Source organism: Homo sapiens, chromosome 5 (genome assembly GCF_000001405.40).
Source record: "Homo sapiens chromosome 5, GRCh38.p14 Primary Assembly".
Lineage (NCBI taxonomy): Eukaryota > Metazoa > Chordata > Mammalia > Primates > Hominidae > Homo > Homo sapiens.
Window position 1 is genome coordinate 40,621,796 of NC_000005.10, and position 20,810 is coordinate 40,642,605.

At 39.3% G+C, this 20,810-nt stretch overlaps 1 long non-coding RNA gene across 2 annotated transcripts in view; it reads left to right on the forward strand.

Moving 5' to 3' along the window:
- Window positions 1-9,411, forward strand: part of LOC105374737 (uncharacterized) — a 31,257-nt gene extending 21,846 nt beyond the window's left edge. Inside the window, exons 2-3 of one of the 2 annotated variants that reach the window (XR_925942.3) lie at window positions 2,331-2,473; window positions 9,343-9,411. This is a non-coding gene — a long non-coding RNA (uncharacterized LOC105374737). Of the gene's footprint in view, window positions 1-2,330; window positions 2,474-3,292; window positions 3,366-9,342 lie in introns of those variants that run through there. The other variant, XR_007058745.1, reaches the window with a different exon arrangement.
- Window positions 9,412-20,810: the final 11,399 nt, after the last annotated feature.

A 20,810-nucleotide genomic window follows, 5' to 3' on the forward strand; every position in this document is an offset into this window, starting at 1 on the left:
ACAAGAACTGAATTTCTGTAAAATATATCTCACTAAATGAGTTTAACAAAGATATTACAGCATTTCCTTTCAAATAAGGAACTGCTGATCATCTGTGAGATAAAAATCATGAAAACAGAGACTGAATATAACAGAACCTGCCAATATTAATCTGACCCTTAATATCCATCTCTTCCACAACACTGTAAATCCCTTCAGGGAGTTTGTCATGAAGATACATACATCTATCATGCATTTAGTTCTCTCACAGCACCTACAATAAGACTTTCTTATACATTGGCTTAATGAATGAAACATGCCAGGCACTCAACTCTGGGAGCTAATACTCTACTGCCACCACCATGGTAAGTAGATGACACCAGTTTACCCAAACTAGTTCCAGTGTAAGCCTGTTGCAGGATAACTATTAACAGTGCCCCTTTCACTCACAGAAGTGTCATGTTTTGCAAGATAAATCATGCGTTTGCCCTAATTATAGGACTTAGTCATGTTTATCCTACTATTTAATTGCTTTTAAGGCAAAGAATTCAAGAACATTCTAGCTTCGTTTCCTGATTTTATTTTGCTCTGTAAGCTAGAAGAATAAGTGCAGATCCTGATAAATGCATTCCTGTTTCACTCTCATCACAGGACCTGTGGGGACTCTCCTTAGGGAGAGTGTATATCTTTTAGAGACCAAGCTAAACCACAAGCAAACCTTGCCCTACGAAGACAAGGCCACCAAGAAACTTGACTGAAAGGCAAGAAGTCTCAAGATTCCCCCATAAATAAAGATATGACCTGGAGGGAAAACTTTATCTCAATCCTGGTGATCCTAAACATCTATTAGGTGGATAAACCATGCTGCCTGCTACATCCAGGGATTTGGGAGGACAATTGAATCACATCTGTTAATTACTTTGAATTCCAGAGAAATTCCTGACATTGTTAGAAGAATGTTACAAAGGTCAGATGGTAGGATAATTTTTCTCTAGTTATAACTTCAGGGAAATTACCCCAATCTAGAGTTCTACTTCCATCAAATGTGCAAAATAATAACCCAGTAGCACCCCTTTTGACTTTACCCCTCTGCTCTCTCACAACCCTGTGAACATGCATGGTGAGGCAAGAGCTTGGGGCAAATGGTGGCACGCAGCAACTATGTGAGGGAAATGCTGGTAAGAGATGGCCAAGTTTTGAACATAGAGAATGACCTTGAAGATAAAGTAAAAGCAGCCTACATCCTTTGTGCTTATATAAATAAAGTCCAGATCAGGACTGTGAGTCAGGGACTTCTGATTTCTAATCTTCCTTCTACTCTGGGCCTGGTAGTGATATAGGCAATTAAGTGGAAGCCCCAACAATGTACCAGATGTCCTGAAGAGGAGGTCCAGAAAAGGAAACATTGCCTCCCTTCTTCCCAAACTGAGGTTAATTCCTGTCCAAGCCTGAAAGTCCAAAATTAGATTAAAAAAAGAGTTCTGGAGGCATCAAACTGACCCCAGGGAAAGTGTGAAGCTAAATGCCCACTTAGGGTACTCTCAGAGACAGGTTTATGTCACCCTGGACTTATATAAGATAGGACAGATATCCCCAATTTAATTCTGATATAGGTTAACATACCTATCTGCCTTTCTTTCTCCTTCTTTTATAGTTCATACTTCTTAGCTATCCCACTTCCACACCCAACAGTGACAAGTCATTTAACCTCTTCATATTTTAGTTTCCTCATAGGCAAAATCAGTGAGGCAGTTGAGAGAGGGATAGGGACTACATTTAGACAAAAACTACCCTAGAGAAGCCCTGTATTTCTTCATGAAGCAGAGGCACAGCTACCAACTCCCTGCACCTAATCACTCTGCAAAGTGTGAAGAATAAAGTGAAAGCGACCTAAGGCACCCACATCAAAGGCAAGCTAATTCTGTTGCTACAACAAAGGATGGTTATAGTATAATTGGAGCTGTGCAGGGTTCCATAAAACAATTCATTTATGCATAATACTCATTGCAGGTCCTTCCCAGTCTGTTTTCCCTCTGTCTCCAAGTTGGGGCTATAGGAGTCAAAGAGAATTGCCTACTTATAGATCCCAAACAACTTGCCCCCATCTGCCATGCCTATAGAAAGGGAGATCCGGAAGTTGAGAGCCTGGATCTAGCACACTCTCAAACAAGAATCAATTCTATGATCTTGGGGCAGTCTTTTAACTTCCTGGACCAATTTTCTCTCCCAATGCCAATGAAGGGTTTTGTCTCCATTCTCCATTAACTTTAAGATTATTTCTATTCAAACATCTCCAATTGCCTGAGACTTTTTATGTTCTTTTATATCTCCTCCTTTCTGTCTTCTTACAGTTGTGTTTGTGCTCCCATGCTCCTGTATTTATAATCATCTGGCAGAGGCATAATAGATCAGAGGTTAAGAAGCACAGCCTTTGGCATTAGAAAAACCAAGATTCAAGGTTCAATCCTGCTACATAAAAGCTGTGTAACTTCAGGTAAGTTATCTTTCCTTATCTGTAAAATGAGATTAATAATAGTGCCTACCTCACAGGGTTGTAGAGATATTACATGCAGAATGCTTGACACTTATTCATTCAGTTATTCAAGCACCTACTTTGCAACAGGCACAGTGCTGGACCCTGGGAATACAGCAATGAGCAAAACAGATGAGATCTCTGCCTATATGGATGTTACTATCCAATGGGGAGTGAGTTCTTGAACAAGTCATTGCTAAAGTCCAAGAGTGATACATCCTATGAAGGAACCATCTGGAGGGGTGCAGAACAATGTAGCAAGGAAATTAATTTTGGTGGAAACTTGGCAAGAAAATCTTCCTCAAGAAAACTTTAAGTCTGAGTAGAACGGGGGCCAAGGAAAGAGTGGGAACAAGACCCCAAGCAAGGTTGGGGAAGGGCTCATGGGAAACCCTAAAGCTGGAAGGAGTGGCCATGGCCAGAGATGCTGAGTACAAAAGTGGCTAGAGAAGTAGGCAGAGGTTTCATCTTGCAGGCAGAGCAGTCACACAGAGGTTGGTTGTTGTCATTATTACCATCCCCACAAATTTAACATATCTAAAATGAAATCCATCTTTTAACCTAAAGCAATTCCTCCCTCCTACCTTCCCCATCTGTTATCATGGCAATGTTATTTTGATGGTTTTCATATTTTAAAGTCCTCCTTGGTACTTTTATCCCCTTAGCACTTTCATTCATTTATTCCACAAGTTTTAAGTACCTACTTTGCTAAGAGCCTAATTTATTATTTCAACTTTTCCGAGTTTCTTCCTCTCTATGCTCTTGTTTCTATTCCAACAGCTCCTGCCCAAGGCCTTGTTACCTCATGCCTGAGTTATCTTCATTCTATATCAACTCTAAGAACCCCTGACCACAGACTGAACAAAATACTGCTTTATCCATCTTTATTACTGCTCAATAATATTAATAATAATAATAATAATGGCCTCCCATCAATCTTCAGGTGAGATCAGTCTTCAGAGTTCTTCAAGATATTCCCTGCCTCTCCTCAGGCTGCTCTGCATGTAGGATGAAGAACTTCCATTCTCTTCAAACTGACCTCCTTTGTCCTCCAAACACATGAGACTCATTCCACACTCCAAGCCAGTTCTCAATCCATGAGGCCCATTGTAATCACCTAAAAAGTGCCTAAAATACCCATGCTTGTACCCACCTCTGGAGATGCTGGAGAGGACCTCAGTCATCAGAATTTTTTTAAGCATGCTGGGTGACTCAAATGTGCAGTCAAGGTTGAGAACCACTGCTCTATGCATCCTGCCTGCTGTATCCCTGCCTAAGATGCCTATTCTTCTTCCCTCCCCCACCCCTTCTTCTGTGTCCTTGTAGGTTCAACAATTCAGACTGTCCCTGTCTTCTACTGATCATCTGGATTCCAACTTTCTCAAGACCCTTAGAGTATTAGTGGTTTGAATCAGTTGTTTTAGCAATAAAAAAGCTTTACACTAAGTGGGCATCCTAGAACTCAGGACCTCTAGTATATGATGAAATAAAAAGATTAGTGTGAGCCAGTCTTGGAAATTTATGATTATTTATAAGATTTTATCTCTAGAAAAGTAAGTCCTCCCTTATTGAAGAATCTAACAACCATCAGGAGAATGCACTCAGATTTCTAATGTGGCACACCAAGCACACAACCCTGCCTGTCTTTACTGCCCTTGCCACTCTACAGGAGTAAGAAATATCATGTCGCTAATATCTCACATGCTGGCAAAGACAGAACAAATTTTTCAAGGCCCTGGTGTCGGTTTTCACATCCTTTGGCACCTACTGGAGTCCCTCGTAGTGCCTTCCCCTTTGCTGAATATGTAGCAAATGTGCAATGTTAAATATTGCTAATTGTCCTCATCTTGGAATGAAGCACTTCATATAAATGGTTTTTCTAGAAAGCTAAAATTTACCTCTTTGAATACACAAGTTTTTTGCCTTATCCATTTTATTATAATACATCCTTACTTACCTTTGAACAGAGTAAATGGATTGAAATCACTTCTTAGCCACTCAGAACCGTTATCATGAGTCAGCAAGAGAGCTATGTAACATCATATAGATGCCTGAGAGGGTTTTTAAAGTATCAAAACACTTCCCTCATATATATTCAGTTATCTGATACTGATATCGTTTGAATGTATGTCCCTGCCAAATCTCATGTTGAATTGTAATCCCCAATGTTGGTGGTGGGGCCAGGTGGGAGGTGTTTTGATCATGGTGGTGGATCTCTCATGAATGGCTTGGTCAATTCCCTGGGTAATAACTCTAGCTCTGAGTTCACATGAGATCTGGTCATTTAAAAGTGTATGGCACCTCCCCGCAAACTCTCTCATTCTGTTGCTTCTGTTTTCACCATGTGAAGTGCCTACTCCTGCCTCGCCTTCCACCAGGATTTGAAAGTCACTGAGGCCTCTCTCCAGAAGCCAGGCAGATGCTGGTGCCATGCTTCCTGTACAGCCTGCAGAACCATGAGCCAATTAAATCTCTTTTCTTTATAAATTACCCAGTCTCACATATTTCTTTATAGCAATGCAAGAATGACCTAACACACAGACATAAACACTTGGCATGTTTATGCCAAAGGGAGGGGAGGAAAAACTTTGAAGACTTACCAAGTCGTGAATGTCTACCTTGTGCCTGAACCTTGCTGTGTATGCTCCCATGTGACTCACACCTGAATCTTTCTGTGTATATTCTGTGTGATCTGGATGAAAGGTTGAGGGTGACTCCTCTTTTGACCCCATTACAGCGTACTTAAATTCAGTGATGGATATCTTTCTTACTGTTAGAGTCATCTTTGTTTCATGGATCATTAACCCCAAGGTGACCAGAAGCCTGAAATAAAGTGAATGTGTAGAAGGGATCTTCTTGTTAGGGAATAGGTTTTTTTGTATTGATTATGCAAGTGATTCTAGTCCTTGGTAGGAAATTTGCCATAGGCAATGACCTACAAAACAGTATTAGATCTAACATCCCCACCCCAATCCTAACAATAGAACATAAAAATCTAAGTAGCCCCTATATTGCACTTAATACCTGTTTGGAATTAACGGTCATAGTCTTGGAACATTTTCTAAAGCTTTGCTTGGGGCCCAAAATACATAGTTAGGTTCTTGAATGTATTCCATGACCCTCAGATGATAAAGGCTTATAATCCCCTGGTTATAACCTTATACACAAGCTCCTGGAGGCTTTAAAATACCCATCACATCCCAAAATAAGACATGCCTTAGATTTAGGCCAAAGTAAGCACCCATATCTGCATATTTCAGCAACAACAGTAAGATTTATTTGCCCTATTTGATAATTTTCTGATTGTTAAATTTGTGTTAAGTATTCTAACATATATATTTTCTTCCTACTTGAAGCTATTATTCTTTCTCAAAGAAAAGTAAAAAACAAAAGCTATTTCTACATCTACATCACTGTTATGGCATCTTTCTATCTGCAAGTAAATCCTTGTGAATTTTGTGGGCAGTTCATTGGTAGCTCCTCTCTCTCTAGCTCTCTGTCTCTCTTTCTCTCTCTCCCTCCCACCACCTTCTCTCTCCCTTAGTTGTTAGAAACTTGAAATGAAAATGAATCAGCAGTAATGACTGCTGCACTTAAGGAAATCTATGCTCTGGTTTATAATTTATGTATTGGGTCCTGAAGGAGCTTAAGTACTTAACCCCCAGTTTATGATGAAATTATGAGTAACGGCATCTCTCAATTTGTATCTGATTCAACTTGCTAATTTTATCCAAATCGAATGTCTAAATTTAGTTCCCAAGCAACTTTCATTTCACCAGCATTTTAATCTCTGAATGTGGAGCTGCAATAAAATATTTGTGTTTATCCAAAATGCTTTATTTCTACTTTCAAGAAAAACCATAGCATAGTATCTTTGATAGTCTCAGAAAACTGTACGGCTCTACCTGATGGTAAGCAAGATTACCCCAAGGAGTTCTTTCTCAGGGAGCTATGTCAAGGGGAGGAGGAAATGGAGAAGAGAGTAATCACACAAGAGACACATTTGTTGATCTGGTGTATTAGTAATCAACTAAACATTTTCAAAATTATCTAAGGATAATTTTACTCATGTCTTTCCTATCACCACATCAAATCCAAACTTTTCTATTTGGTTTTTAAGATTTGGCTCTGTCTTTTCCATCTAAACATATCTTCCCACTTCTCCCCAAAATAAAGTGCCTGCCCCATTGGGTCCCACACAAATTCTGCTCACTTCTACCTCTGTCACTGTGTGACTTGATTAGCTAAGAGGTGAGTGCGTAGTGGAAAGAACCCTAGACTAGAAGATGGGAGGTCTGGATTTTATTCTGTTTTTGCTAATAAACAAGCTGACTTTGCTATGTTACATAACTCCTCTGAACCTCAGCTTCCTCATTTATAAAATGAGAGAGTTAGCTTGATACTGTCTGATTACATTACTTTTTAGAGCATTCTCTATGCCTACATTATTAACCTAAATATTCTTTTAATTCCACAGTACTTATTATCATGGAATATATTTTTACTTATAGATTTTTTTTCTTACTTGTCTGTATTAGAATGCAAGCTCTATGTGGGCAAAGATGTTTTCCCATTTTGTTCACTACTGTATTCCCAGAGCTTAGAAAAGTTCAATGCATCAATGGACACTAAATATTTGTTGAATGAATTAATGCGTTAAAGAATCATAGATATTATTCTTCCTTAAAGATGCTCTGCAGATTGAGTTTTTTTCCATCAAACTCTGCTGACTATTTCAAACCCACATTTCTCCCTTCCATGCACTTCTAAGGCAATTATGGTTAGTTGCATAGTTTGGCATTTAAGAATTCTCTTAATATTTCAGGTAGATCAGTACTAATTTCCTTTTTTAAGATTATACATTTCTGACATTTTGGGCTAGATGTTTTAAAAAGAGTATAGATTTCTTGGGGTCAAGGGCTCTAGCCTATCATATACTTGCTAGGTATTTGATCAATTAAATTTCTTTTTTTTTATTATTATTATACTTCTTTAAGTTTTAGGGTACATGTGCACAACGTGCAGGTTAGTTACATATGTATACATGTGTCATGCTGGTGCGCTGCACCCACTAACTCGTCATCTAGCATTAGGTATATCTCCCAATGCTATCTCTCCCCCCACTCCCACCCCACAACAGTCCCCAGAGTGTGATGTTCCCCTTCCTGTGTCCATGTGTTCTCATTGTTCAATTCACACCTATGAGTGAGAATATGCGGTGTTTGGCTTTTTGTTCTTGCGATAGTTTACTGAGAATGATGATTTCCAATTTCATCCATGTCCCTACAAAGGACATGAACTCATCATTTTTTATGGCTGCATAGTATTCCATGGTGTATATGTGCCACATTTTCTTAATCCAGTCTATCATTGTTGGACATTTGGGTTGGTTCCAAGTCTTTGCTATTGTGAATAGTGCTGCAATAAACATACGTGTGCATGTCTCTTTATAGCAGCATGATTTATAGTCCTTTGGGTATATATCCAGTAATGGGATGGCTGGGTCAAATGGTATTTCTAGTTCTAGATCCCTGAGGAATCGCCACACTGACTTCCACAATGGTTGAACTAGTTTACAGTCCCACCAACAGTGTAAAAGTGTTCCTATTTCTCCACATCCTCCCCAGCACCTGTTGTTTCCTGACTTTTTAATGATTGCCATTCTAACTGGTGTGAGATGGTATCTCATCGTGGTTTTGATTTGCATTTCTTCTGATGGCCAGTGATGGTGAAAAAAACAAACAACACCATCAAAAAGTGGGCGAAGGACATGAAGAGACACTTCTCAAAAGAAGACATTTATGCAGCCAAAAAACACATGAAAAAATGCTCACCATCAATTAAATTTCTTAAAAATGTCAGCCACATGTTAGGCAACTAACTCAGGTTTCAGCCATCTGCATTTCTTATCTGCTATTCTCTGTCTGTTTTGTGGCCAGGTATTATGGAGGTGATGAATAGGTCTCTGCAGGGAGTACAGGGGAAGAGCAGTTATCACTTCCTTAGCCTGTCACTGCAAATGCAAGTATATAATATTATCCCTGGGTAATAAAGAGACTGTAGTGGGGGAGAGGGAGGTTTTTTGGGAGGGTCAGAATAAAAATAACTGCAAGGATCTTTTAAATAGGAGAAAGAGGAAGTAGAGGACTTGACTTGAAACATTAAAGATAAAAAAAAGTACCTTAGGCATTGCCTCTTCTATTACCCTGTATTTGTGTAAGGAAATTGACTATCAGAGAGGTGAAATGACTTGCCTAAATGCACAAAGATTATTATTGAAAGTACAGTGAAATACTGCTCATCAAACTCTGGTCGAATAAATTGAATTTTCTCTTTAAAGTTTTACAGGAAACCCATTTGATTTGTAAATATGATCAAAAAGCTTTCTAAAATATAGCAGCAAGGATATATAATATATTGATACATTTTACTTCTAAGTATAGCCTAGTTAAAGTAATTTCATCTGTGTTTGATATTTTAGGGACATATTACTGAGCATCAATTATAACCATAACGTATTAAAGATGTGAAAACTATAGGAGCTACAACTGAATTATGCTTGGCCCTGAAAATGGATTTGGGGATGGTTGCTTTTTATAATTTATTTCTTTGGATTTGCTTCTTTCTCTTAAAAGTCAAACACATACGAATGAATACATTACAAACCCAAATTAGCTCATTTCCAGTTCTCATTCTATAATCATGGAATAGGGTTTTTTATAAATGAATAAACTATATCATTGCAGAAATTCTGATTTTGCATTTATAAAAAGGTGTTAGTGGGTTAGTCAAATATATCTTTATTGACTGTGCTTCCATTTCCATTGCAGAGTCATAGGTCGAGAACTTAAAGAATACCTCACCATATCTCTTCACATATCCATGAAGAAACTGAGGTGCAAAGAAGTTAAGTGATAAACCTGAAGCCACACAGCCAGTTAAAGTTAAGACTTCTAATAAAATCCCAATGGTTAACTTCAGGACCATAACCAAAGGTATCCTAGTTGCTACGGGGGGCAACCTTCCACAGGCTACAATTGCTATTAATCCAGACCCATGTGCACAGCTTCCTTGTGATTCCCTACACCTTTTTATGAGAACGTAATCTCAACTGCCGGAAGTTGCCCTGTTGACCCTGAAAAGGCTGCCAAGTGGGTGTCCCGGAAGCCTACTGAGTACAAGTTTAATATTTTCTGTTAAGCAACTCACAGCATTTAAGCCGCAGTTGTGGAAATTCTCAAGAAAGCTCATTCTGTATGAATCAAATTTCTGAAGCGATTCTCTTCCAGGGAACTGCAATCAATCCTGTCCGGACTTCACTTTACATAGCTCATTTTTTGAGCCTTCATCATACACAACATTCACTGCAAAAGATCCAAGGGAGCCACACTTTCTGAAGGATGCTATTGTTGCTCAACTGGCAAACTCAAATTTGGTTTGAAGAGCATAAGTTTTAATTTTCTAGGTTAAAACTTATTTTTCTTCTCAAGTTCCATTTATCAAAGAAATCGTTTTGTTTTGTTTGTTTAATCGAATAACATCGCAAGTGCAGAAGACTTAGCTGGGATGGAGGTTGGGGGAGTGTCCTTGCCTGTTTCAGGGAACCAATAAAGGACATCTCAAAAACCAAACACAGTACTTATGATGTGCCAGGCACTCTTCTGAGGGCTTTACACGATGTAACTCATTTAATCTTGAGAAAACCCCTAAGAGGTAGATATTGACATCATCCCATTTTATAGATGAGAATCTGAGGAACAAATACGTTAGGTAACTGGCCCAAAGTCATTGTAGCTAATAAGTCACAAAGCTGGGAGTATGAACCCGGCAGTTTGTGTTTTTACCACTGTGCTCCACCTAACATACGTAATTTGAGAAAAAAAAAATTAAAACAACCTTTTAGCCTCCATTTTCTAAGCATCTCAAGTTAAAGTAGTTGGGGTCTGAGAAAAGTATTCAGATAACTGACCCACTAGCTAAAGACTCAGCCATGTAATCATCCAATAATTTTCACAATTTACAGCTTCACAGTTTTACAAAAAAAGAGTCCAATGTGTGAGCAAATTTATAAGCTGCTTAATCTTGATTAAAAAAACAATTAATTCACTAGCTACCTGTTATGTGCCAGGCTCTGGAACAATGCCACGAATTAGACATGGCTACTCTAAAAATTCTCTGTGGAAACAATATTTGGACATAGGAAAAAAATGTAACAACAAAGGCAATGAATGATTTATATCAAACTGATAGGCTGACAATAAATGAAAAAAAACTCTTCTAGAAATAATTTGTGCATTTAGCATTCCAAATATTAAAGAATATAAAAACATCTTAGAATAACTAAAAGAAAATGTGAATTTGTATTTTTTACTATAATTGTGGTGATATTTCTTTTCAAATATTGTTATAATCAAATGAACACTTTACTAGATATCTACTCCAATTAAAACACTTTGATAATGCTTTGTAAAGAATTGTGAATTGAATACCAGATAATTATTTCCTTTGTTACTCAATAACAACTTCTATTAAAGTTTTTATGCTAGTGGGAATGTAAACTAATACAACCACTATGGAAGACAGTATGAAGATTTCTTAAAGAACTAAAAGTAGAACTACTATTTGATCCAGCAATCCAACTACTGGGTATCTACCAAGAGGAAAAGAAGTCATTATATGAAAAAGACACTTGCACACACATGTTTATAGCAGCACAATTCGCAACTGCAAAAATATGGAACCAGCTTAAATCCCTGTCAACCAGGTGGATAAAGAAAATGTGGTATATATGGCCGGGCATGGTGGCTCACGCTTGTAATCCCAGGCACTTTAGGAGGCTGAAGTGGGCAGATCACTTGAGGACAGGAGTTCGAGACCAGCCTGGCCAACATGGTAAAACCCCATCTCTACTAAAACTACAAAAAAAAAAAAAATTAGCCGGGCATGGTGATGGGCACCTGTAATCCCAGTTACTTGGGAGGCTGAGGCAGGAGAATTGCTCGAACTCAGGAGGTGGAGGTTGCAGTGAGTCAAGATCATGCCGTTGCAACCCAGCCTGGGCAACAAGAGCAAAACTCTGTCTCAAAAAAAAAAAAAGAAAAGAAAAGAAAATGTGGTATGCATATACCATGGAATACTCCTCAGCCATAAAAAGGAACAAAATAATGGCATTTGCAGAAACCTGGAAGGAGTTGGACACCATTATTCTAAGTAACTCAGAATGGAAAACCAAATATTGTATGTTCTCACTTATAAGTGGGGGCTAAGCTATGAAGACACAAAGGCATAAGAATGATATAATGAACTTTGGGGACTCTGGGGGAAGGGTGGAAAGGGGTAAGAGATAAAAGACTACACATTGGGTACAGTGTATGCAGCTCGTGTGACAGGTGAACCAAAGTCTCAGAAATCATCACTAAAGAACTAATCCATGTAACCAAAAACCACCTGTTCCCCAAAAACTTGAATTTTTTTAATTTTAATTTAATGTTAATACTTTTTTCATGTCTGTTTTTCTTTTAAAAAATAATAATAAAGGAAGTACCATGAGTCCCTTTGATTATAATCATAAAAAGATTTAAAAATATGCCACACAAACATCAGAAGCATTCTTACGTTAATTTCCCTCTATTGCAAAGGTACAATTTCCTTAATTGTTCTTTATGCATTAAATGTGTATCATAAACTTGCCTATACATCAAGTTGATGTTCCATTTCAGTTTTCTTTCTTCTGCAAAATAGGTTAGTAATTATCTGTTTTCTATCAATAAACTATCATCAGTTATTTTAGTCAGAATGTTTATAGTCATTTTTATTCCCAACTCATTCCCACTGAAATTTGTAAGAATAATAAAAAAGCGGTGGTGGCTGGCAAGATGGCCTAATGGGAACAGCTCTGTTCTGCAGCTCCCAGGGAGATCAATGAAGAAGGCAGGTGATTTCTGCATTTCCAACTGAGATACCTGGATCATCTCACTGGGACTGGTTAGACAGCAGGTGCAGCCCACAGATGGCGAGCTGAAGCAGGGTGGGGCATTACCTCACCTGGGAGGCACAAGGGGTCAGGGAACTCCCTCCCCTAGCCATGAGGGACTGTGCATGAGGAAGGGTGCACTCTGGCCCAGATACTATACTTTTCCCATGGTCTTCAAAACCCACAAACTAGGAGATTCTCTCGAGTGCCTACACCACCAGGGCCCTGGGTTTCAAGCACAAAACTGGGCTGCTGTTTGGGCAGACACCAGCCTAGCTGCAGGAGTTTTTTATTCATAACCCTATGGTGCCCAGAATCCCAGTGAGACAGAACTGTTCACTCCCCTGGAAAGGGCGTTGAAGCCAGGGAGCCAAGTGGTCTGGCCTAGCGGGTCCCACCCCCAAGGAGCCCAGCAAGCTAAGATCCACTGGCTTGAAATTCTCACTGCCAGCACAGCAGTCTGAAGTCAACCTGGGACACTCGAGCTTGGTGGGGAGAGGGGCATCCCCCATTACTGGGGCTTGAGTAGGCGGTTTTCCTCTCACAGTGTAAACAAAGCTGCCTAGAAGTTCAAACGGAGAGGAGCCCACTTCCACGCAGCAAACCCGCTGTAACCAGACTGCCCCTCTAGATTCCTTCTCTCTGGGCAGGGCATCCCTGAAAGAAAGGCAGCACCCCAATCAGAGGCTTATAGATAATACTCCCATCTCCCTGGGACAGAGCACCTGGGGAAAGGAGTGGCTGTGGGCAGTTTCAGGAGACTTAAACATTCCTGCCTGCAGGCTCTGAAGAGAGCAGTGGATCTCTCAGGACAGTGCTCGAGCTCTGCTAAAGGACAGACTGCCTCCTTAAGTGGGTCCCTGACTCCCATGCCTCCTGACTGGGAGACACCTCCCAGCAGGGGTAAATAGACACCTCATACAGGAGAGCTCCAGCTGGCATTCGGCAGGTGCCCCTCTAGGACAAAGCTTCTAGAGGAAGGAATAGGCAGCAATTTTTTCTGTTCTGCAGCCTCTACAGTGATATCAAGACAAACAGGGTCTGAAGTGGACCTCCAGCAAACTCCAGCAGACCTGCAGCAGAGGGGCCTGACTGTTAGAAGGAAAATAAACACAAAGGAATAGCATCAACATTAGCAAAAAGGACGTCCACACAGAAGCCCTATCTGAAGGTCACCAACATCAAAGACTAAAGGTAGATAAATCCATGAAAATAAGGAAAAACCAGTGCAAAAAGGCTAAAAATACCAAAAACCAGAATGCCTCTTCTTTTCCAAAGGATCACAACTCCTCACCAGCAAGGGAACAAAACTGGACAGAGAATGAGTTTGACGAATTGACAGAAGTAGGCTTCAGAAGGTGGGTAACAACAAACTCCTCCCAGCTAAAGAAGCATGTTCTAACCCAATGCAAGGAAGCTGAGAACCTTGAAAAAAGGTTGCAAGAATTGCTAGCTAGAATAACCAGTCTAGAGAAGAACATAAATGACCTGATGGAGCTGAAAAACGCAGCTCAAGAACTTCGTGAAGCATACACAAGTGCAGTAGCCAAATCGATCAAGTGGAAAAAAGGATATCAGAGATTGAAGATCAACTTAATGAAATAAAGCACGAAGACAAGGTTAAAGAAAAAAAGAATGAAAAAGAACAAACAAAGCCTCCAAGAAATATAGGACTATGTGAAAAGACCAAACCTATGTTTGATTGGTGTACCTGAAAGTGATGGGGAGAATGGAACCAAGTTGGAAAACTCTCTTCAGGATATTATCCAGGAGAACTTCCACAACCTAGCAAGACAGGCCAACATTCAAATTCAGGAAATGCAGAGAACACCACAAAGATATTCCTTAAGAAGAGCAACCCCAAGACACGTAATCGTCAGATTCACCAAGGTTGAAATGAAGGAAAAAATGTTAAGGGCAGCCAGAGAGAAAGCTCGGGTTATCCACAAAGGGAAGCCCATCAGACTAACAGTGGATCTCTCTGCAGGAACTCTACAAGCCAGAAGAGAGTAGGGGCCAATATTCAACATTCTTAAAGAAAAGAATTTTCAACCCAGAATCTCATATCCAGCTAAACTAAGCTTCATAAGTGAAGGAGAAATAAAATCCTTTACAGACAAGCAAATCTGAGAGATTTTGTCACCACCAGGACTGTCTTACAAGAGCTCCTGAAGGAAGCACTAAATATGGAAAGGAAAAACCAGTACCAGCCACTGCAAAAACATACCAAAACGTAAAGACCATAGAGCTATGAAGAAACTGTATCAACTAATGGGCAAAATAACTAGCTAGCATCATAATGACACATAACACATAATTCACACATAACAATATTAACCTTAAATGTAAACAGGCTAAATGCACCAGTTAAAAGACACAGACTTGCAAATAGGATAAAGAGTCAAGACCCACCTGTGTGCTGTATTCAGGAGACCCATCTCATGTGCAAAGACACACATACACTCAAAATGAAGGGATGGAGGAAGATTTACCAAGCAAATGGGAAGCAAAAAAAAAGCAAGAGTTGCAATCCTAGTCTCTGATAAAACAGACTTTAAACAAATGATCAAAAAAACAAAGACGGGCATTCCATAATTGTAAAGGGATCAATGCAACAAGAAGAGCTAACTATCCTAACTATATATGGACCCAATACAGGAGCACCCAGATGCATAAAGCAAGTTCTTAGAGAACTACAAAGAGACTTAGACTCCCACACAATAATAGTAGGAGATTTTAACACCCCACTGTCAGTATTAGACAGATCAAAGAGACAGAAAATTAACAAGGATATTCAGGACTGGAACTCAGCTCTGGACCAAGCCAACCTAACAGACATCTACAGAACTCTCCACCCCAAATCACCAGAATATACATTCTTCTCGGCAACACATTGCACTTATTCTAAAATTGACCGCATAATTGGAAGTAAAACACTCCTCAGCAAATGCCAAAGAATGGAAATCATAACAAACAGTCTCTCAGATCACAAGGCAATCAAATTAGAACTCAGGATTAAGAAACTCACTCAAAACTGCACAACTACATGGAAACTGAACAACCTGCTCCTGAATGACTACTGGGTAAATAGCGAAATTAAGGCAGAAATAAATAAGTTTTTTGAAACAAATGAGAGCAAAGACACAACATACCAGAATCTCTAGGATGCAGCTAAAGCAGTGTTTAGAGGGAAATTTATAGCACTAAATGCCCACAGGAGAAAGCAGGAAAGATCAAAAATCAACACCCTAACATCACAATTAAAAGAACTAGAGAAGCAAGAACAAACAAATTCAAAAGCTAGCAGAAGACAAGAAATAACTAAGATCAGAGAAGAACTGAAGGAGATATAGACATGAAAAACCCTTCAAAAAATCAATGAATCCAGGAGGTGGTTTTTTGGAAAGATCAACAAAATTGATAGACCACTAGTCAGACTATTAAAGAAACAAAGAGAAGACTCAAATAGACACTATAAAAAATGATAAAGGGGAGATCACCACTGATCCAACAGGAGTACAAACTACCATCAGAGAATACTGTAAACACCTCTACACAAATAAACCTCAAAATCTAGAAGAAACGGATAAATTCCTGGACACACACCCTCCCAAGACTAAACCAGGAAAAAGTCAAATCCCTGAATAGACCAATAACAAGTTCTGAAATTGAGGCAGTAATTAATAGCCTACCAACCAAAAAAAGACCAGGACCAGATGAACTTACAGCCGAATTCTACCAGACGTACAAAGAGGAGTTGGTACCATTCCTTCTGAAACTATTCCAAACAATAGAAAAAAAGGGAATCTCCCTAACTCATTTTATGAGGCCCGCATCATCCTGATGCCAAACACTGGCAGAGACACAACAAACAAAGAAAATTTCAGGCCAACATTGATGCAAAAATCCTCAAAAGGCCTTTGACAAAATTCAACAGCCCTGCATGCTAAAAACTCTCAATAAACTAGGTATTGATGGAACATATCTCAAAATAATAAGAACTATTTATGGGAAACACACAGCCAATATCATACTGAATGGGCAAAAACTGGAAGCATTCCCTTTGAAAACCGGCACAAGACAAGGGTGCCCTCTCTCAGCACTCCTATTCAACATAGTGTTGGAAGTTCTGGCTATGGCAATCAGGCAGGAGAAAGAAATAAAGGGTATTCAATTAGGAATAAAAGAAGTCAAATTGTCTCTGCTTGCAGATGACAGGATTGTGTATTTAGAAAACCCCATCATCTCAGCCCAAAATCTCCTTAAGCTGATAAGCAACTTCAGCAAAGTCTCAGGATACAAAATCAGTTGCAAAAATCACAAGCATTCCTATACACCAATAACAGACAGAGAGTCAAATCATGAGTGAACTCCCATTCACAATTGCTACAAAGATAATAAAATACCTAGGAATACAACTTACAAGGAATGTGAAGGACCTTTTCAAGGAAAACCACAAACCACTGTTCCAGGAAATAGAGAGAACACAAACAAATGGAAAAATATTCCATGCTAATGGATAGGAAGAATCAATATCGTGAAAATAGCCATACTGCCCAAAGTAATTTATACATTCAATGCTATCACCATCAAGCTACCATTGACTTTCTTCACAGAATTAGAAAAAACTACTTTAAATTTCATACGGAACCAACAAAGAGCCTGCATAGCCATGACAATCCTGAGCAAAAAGAACAAAGCTGGAGGCATCATGCTACCTGACTTCAAACTATACTACAAGGCAACAGTAACCAAAACAGCATGGAACTGATACCAAAACAGATATATAGACCAAAGGAACAGAACAGAGGCCTCAGAAATAACGCCACACATCTACAACCATCTGATCTTTGACAAACCTGACAAAAACAAGCAATGGGGAAAGGATTCTCTATTTAATAAATGGTATTGGGAAAACTGGCTAGCCATATGCAGAAAACAGAAATTTGACCCCTTCCTTACACCTTATACAAATATTAAATCAAGATGAATTAAAGACTTAAACATAAGACCTAAAACCGTAAAAACCCTAGAAGAAAACCTAGACAATACCTTCAGGACAGGTATGGGCAAAGACTTCATGACGAAAATACCAATAGCAATGGCAACAAAAGCCAAAATTGACAAATGAGATCTAATTAAACTAAAGAGCTTCTGCACAGCAAAAGAAACTGTCATCAGAGTGAACAGGCAACCTACAGAATGGGAGAAAATTTCTGCCATCTATCCATCTGACAATGGGCTAATATCCAGAATCTACAAAGAATGTAAACAAATTTACAAGAAAAAACAAACAACCCCATCAAAATTTGGGTAAAGGATATGAACAGACACTTAAAAGAAGACATTTATGCAGCCAACAAACATGAATAAAAGCTCATCATCACTGGTCATTAGAAAAATGCAGGTCAAAACCACAATAGATACCATCTCATGCCAGTCAGAATGGCAATCATTAAAAAGTCAGGAAACAACAGGTGCTGGAGAGGATGTGGAGAGAGAGGAATGCTTTTACACTGTTGGTGGGAGTGTACATTAGTTCAACCATTGTGGAAGACAGTGTGGCGATTCCTCAAGGAGCTAGAACAAGAAACACCATTTGACTCAGCAATCCCATTACTGGGTATATACCCAAATGATTATAAATGTTTCTCCTCTAAAAATACATGCACACGTATGTTTATTGCAGCACTGTTCACAATAGCAAAGACTTGGAACCAACCCAAATGCCCATCAATGATAGATTGAATAAAGAAAATGTGGCACATATACACTATGGAATACTATGCATCCATTAAAAAAGATGAGTTCATGTCCTTTGCAGGGACATGGATGAAGCTGGAAACACAAGAACAGAAAACCAACAGCAGACTAACACAAGAACAGAAAACCAAACACCACATGTTCTCATTCATAAGTGGGAGTTGAACATTGAGAAGACATGGACTCAGGGAGGGGAACATCACACCCCGGGACCTGTCAGGGGGTGAGGAGCCAGGGGAGGGATAGGATTAGGAGAAATACCTAATGTAGATGACAGTTTGATAGGTGCAACAAACCACCATGGCACATGTATACCTATTTAACAAATCTGCACGTTCTGCACATGTATCCCAGAACTTGAAGTATAATAATAATAATAAAGCTCTGTAAGAATTTATCCACCGTATGGACTGAATTATGTTCCCCTCCCACTCCACTCTTTCCCCAGCTCCTGCAAATTGATATGAAGCCCTTATCTCAGAATGTGACTGCATTTAGAGATAAAACCTTTATGGGGTGATTAAGTTCGTGTGTGGGCATTATGGTGGGCCCTAATCCAATCTGACTGGTATCCTTATAAGATGAGGAAATCTGGATGCCTCCAAGGACAACAAGCACATAGGAAAGACGGTATGAGGACACAGCAAGAAGGCAGCAAGCCAAGGAGGAAGGCTCCAGGAGACACCAACCCTGCTGGCACCTTGATCTTGGACTTCCAGCCTCCAAAACTGGAGAAAATAAATGTCTGTTTCTTAAGGCACCCAGTCTATGGTATTTTATTATGGCAGCCCAAGCAACATGGGTTTGAATTCTGCAGGTCCACTCATATGAGGATTTTTTTCAGTAAATATATCGGAAAACATTTTGGAGATTTATGACAATTTGAAAAAACTTGTAGATGAGCTTCATAGCCTAGAAGTATCAAAAAAATTAAGAAATAGAAATGTAATGAATGCATAAAATATATGTAGACACTGCTCTATTTTATCATTTATAATCATAAAATACACACAAATTTATTTTAAAGGTTAAAATTTATCAAAAGTTATGCACACAAACACAGATTGTACATGGTGCCATTCAGTTGAGAAAAATATAAACAGAAGCAAAAATGCAGTATTAAATTATAACTGCACAAAATTATCATCCATACTGTACTGCTGTAATAATTCTGTAGCCACGTCCTGTTGTTATTGCATTGAGCTCGTGCTGTGCATATTCCCTTAAAAAGCCATGTGATGATCATTCCCCCTGAACAGTTCATCTCTCCAGTGAATTGCATATCACAGTACAACTTGATCTCTCATAGTTCTTTCATTTTTTTCATCCTGTTTAGTTCTATACTGCAAACCTTGAATAACATCACAGGATTCACAGGAAGTGTAGTGATGCTGGAAGTACTCCCAAGAAGCAGAGAAAAGTCATGACATTACAAGAAGTTGAATTGCTTGATATGTACCATAGATTGAGGTCTGCAGTTTCAGTTTCTGCCATTCCAGACAGATGATTCATCTTGTAAAAAGACGATGTAGGTCTGGGTGTGGTGGCTCACGCCTGTAATCCCAGCACTTTCAGAGGCCGAGGCAGGCGGATCATGAGGTCAGGAGTTCGAGATCACCCTGGCCAATACAGTGAAACCCTGTCTCTACTAAAAATACAAAAATTAGCCAGGTGTGGTGGTGCATGCCTGTAGTCCCAGCTACTCGGGAGGCTGAGGCAGAAGAATCGCTTGAACCCAGGAGGCAGAGGTTGCAGTAAGCCAAGATCACACTAGACTCTGTCTCAAAAAAAAAAAAAAAAATGATGATGTAAACTTATAGTATGGATAAATACGGTACAGTACTGGAAATGTATTTTCTCTTCCTTATGATTTTCTTAATAATATTTTTTCTTTAGCTTGTTCTATTGTAAGAATACAGTATATAACACATATAAGATATGTGTTAATTGACAGTTTATGTTATTGGTAAGGCTTCCGGTCAGCAATGGGATATTAGTAGTTAAGTTTGAGAGGAATCAAAAGTTATATGTGGATTATCCTCTGCAGAGGGGCTTGATACACCCTCACCCCCATGTTGTTCAAGGGTCAACTGTAGACTAGTATACCTGTGGAGATAATTACTTTTCTCTTCCAGAGAGCCAAGTCCTTAGAGGCAGAACTTTAAGAAATTCCAGTTTGTCTGTGTTATCTTATTTCTGCCTTTCCTTCCATGTCATATTTCTTTTCTTCTCTGAGACATCATGCCAAATTTAGGAATACAAGCTGTAGCTCAAGTGAGATGAGTTCTAAAACACATGCAGAAATCCTGACAGCTCTTAAATTTTTAGGAAGGACACTGCTTCAGGATCAGAGTGTCTCTCCAAAGTTAATGGCATCTGAGAGCCACTAGTTTTCATCTTCACCATTTTTATTATAAGTGTAGTTTACATTAATTAATTTTTTTTTTTTTTTTTTTGAGACAGAGTCTCGCTCTGTCGCCCAGGCTGGAGTGCAGTGGCGGGATCTCGGCTCACTGCAAGCTCCGCCTCCCGGGTTCACGCCATTCTCCTGCCTCAGCCTCC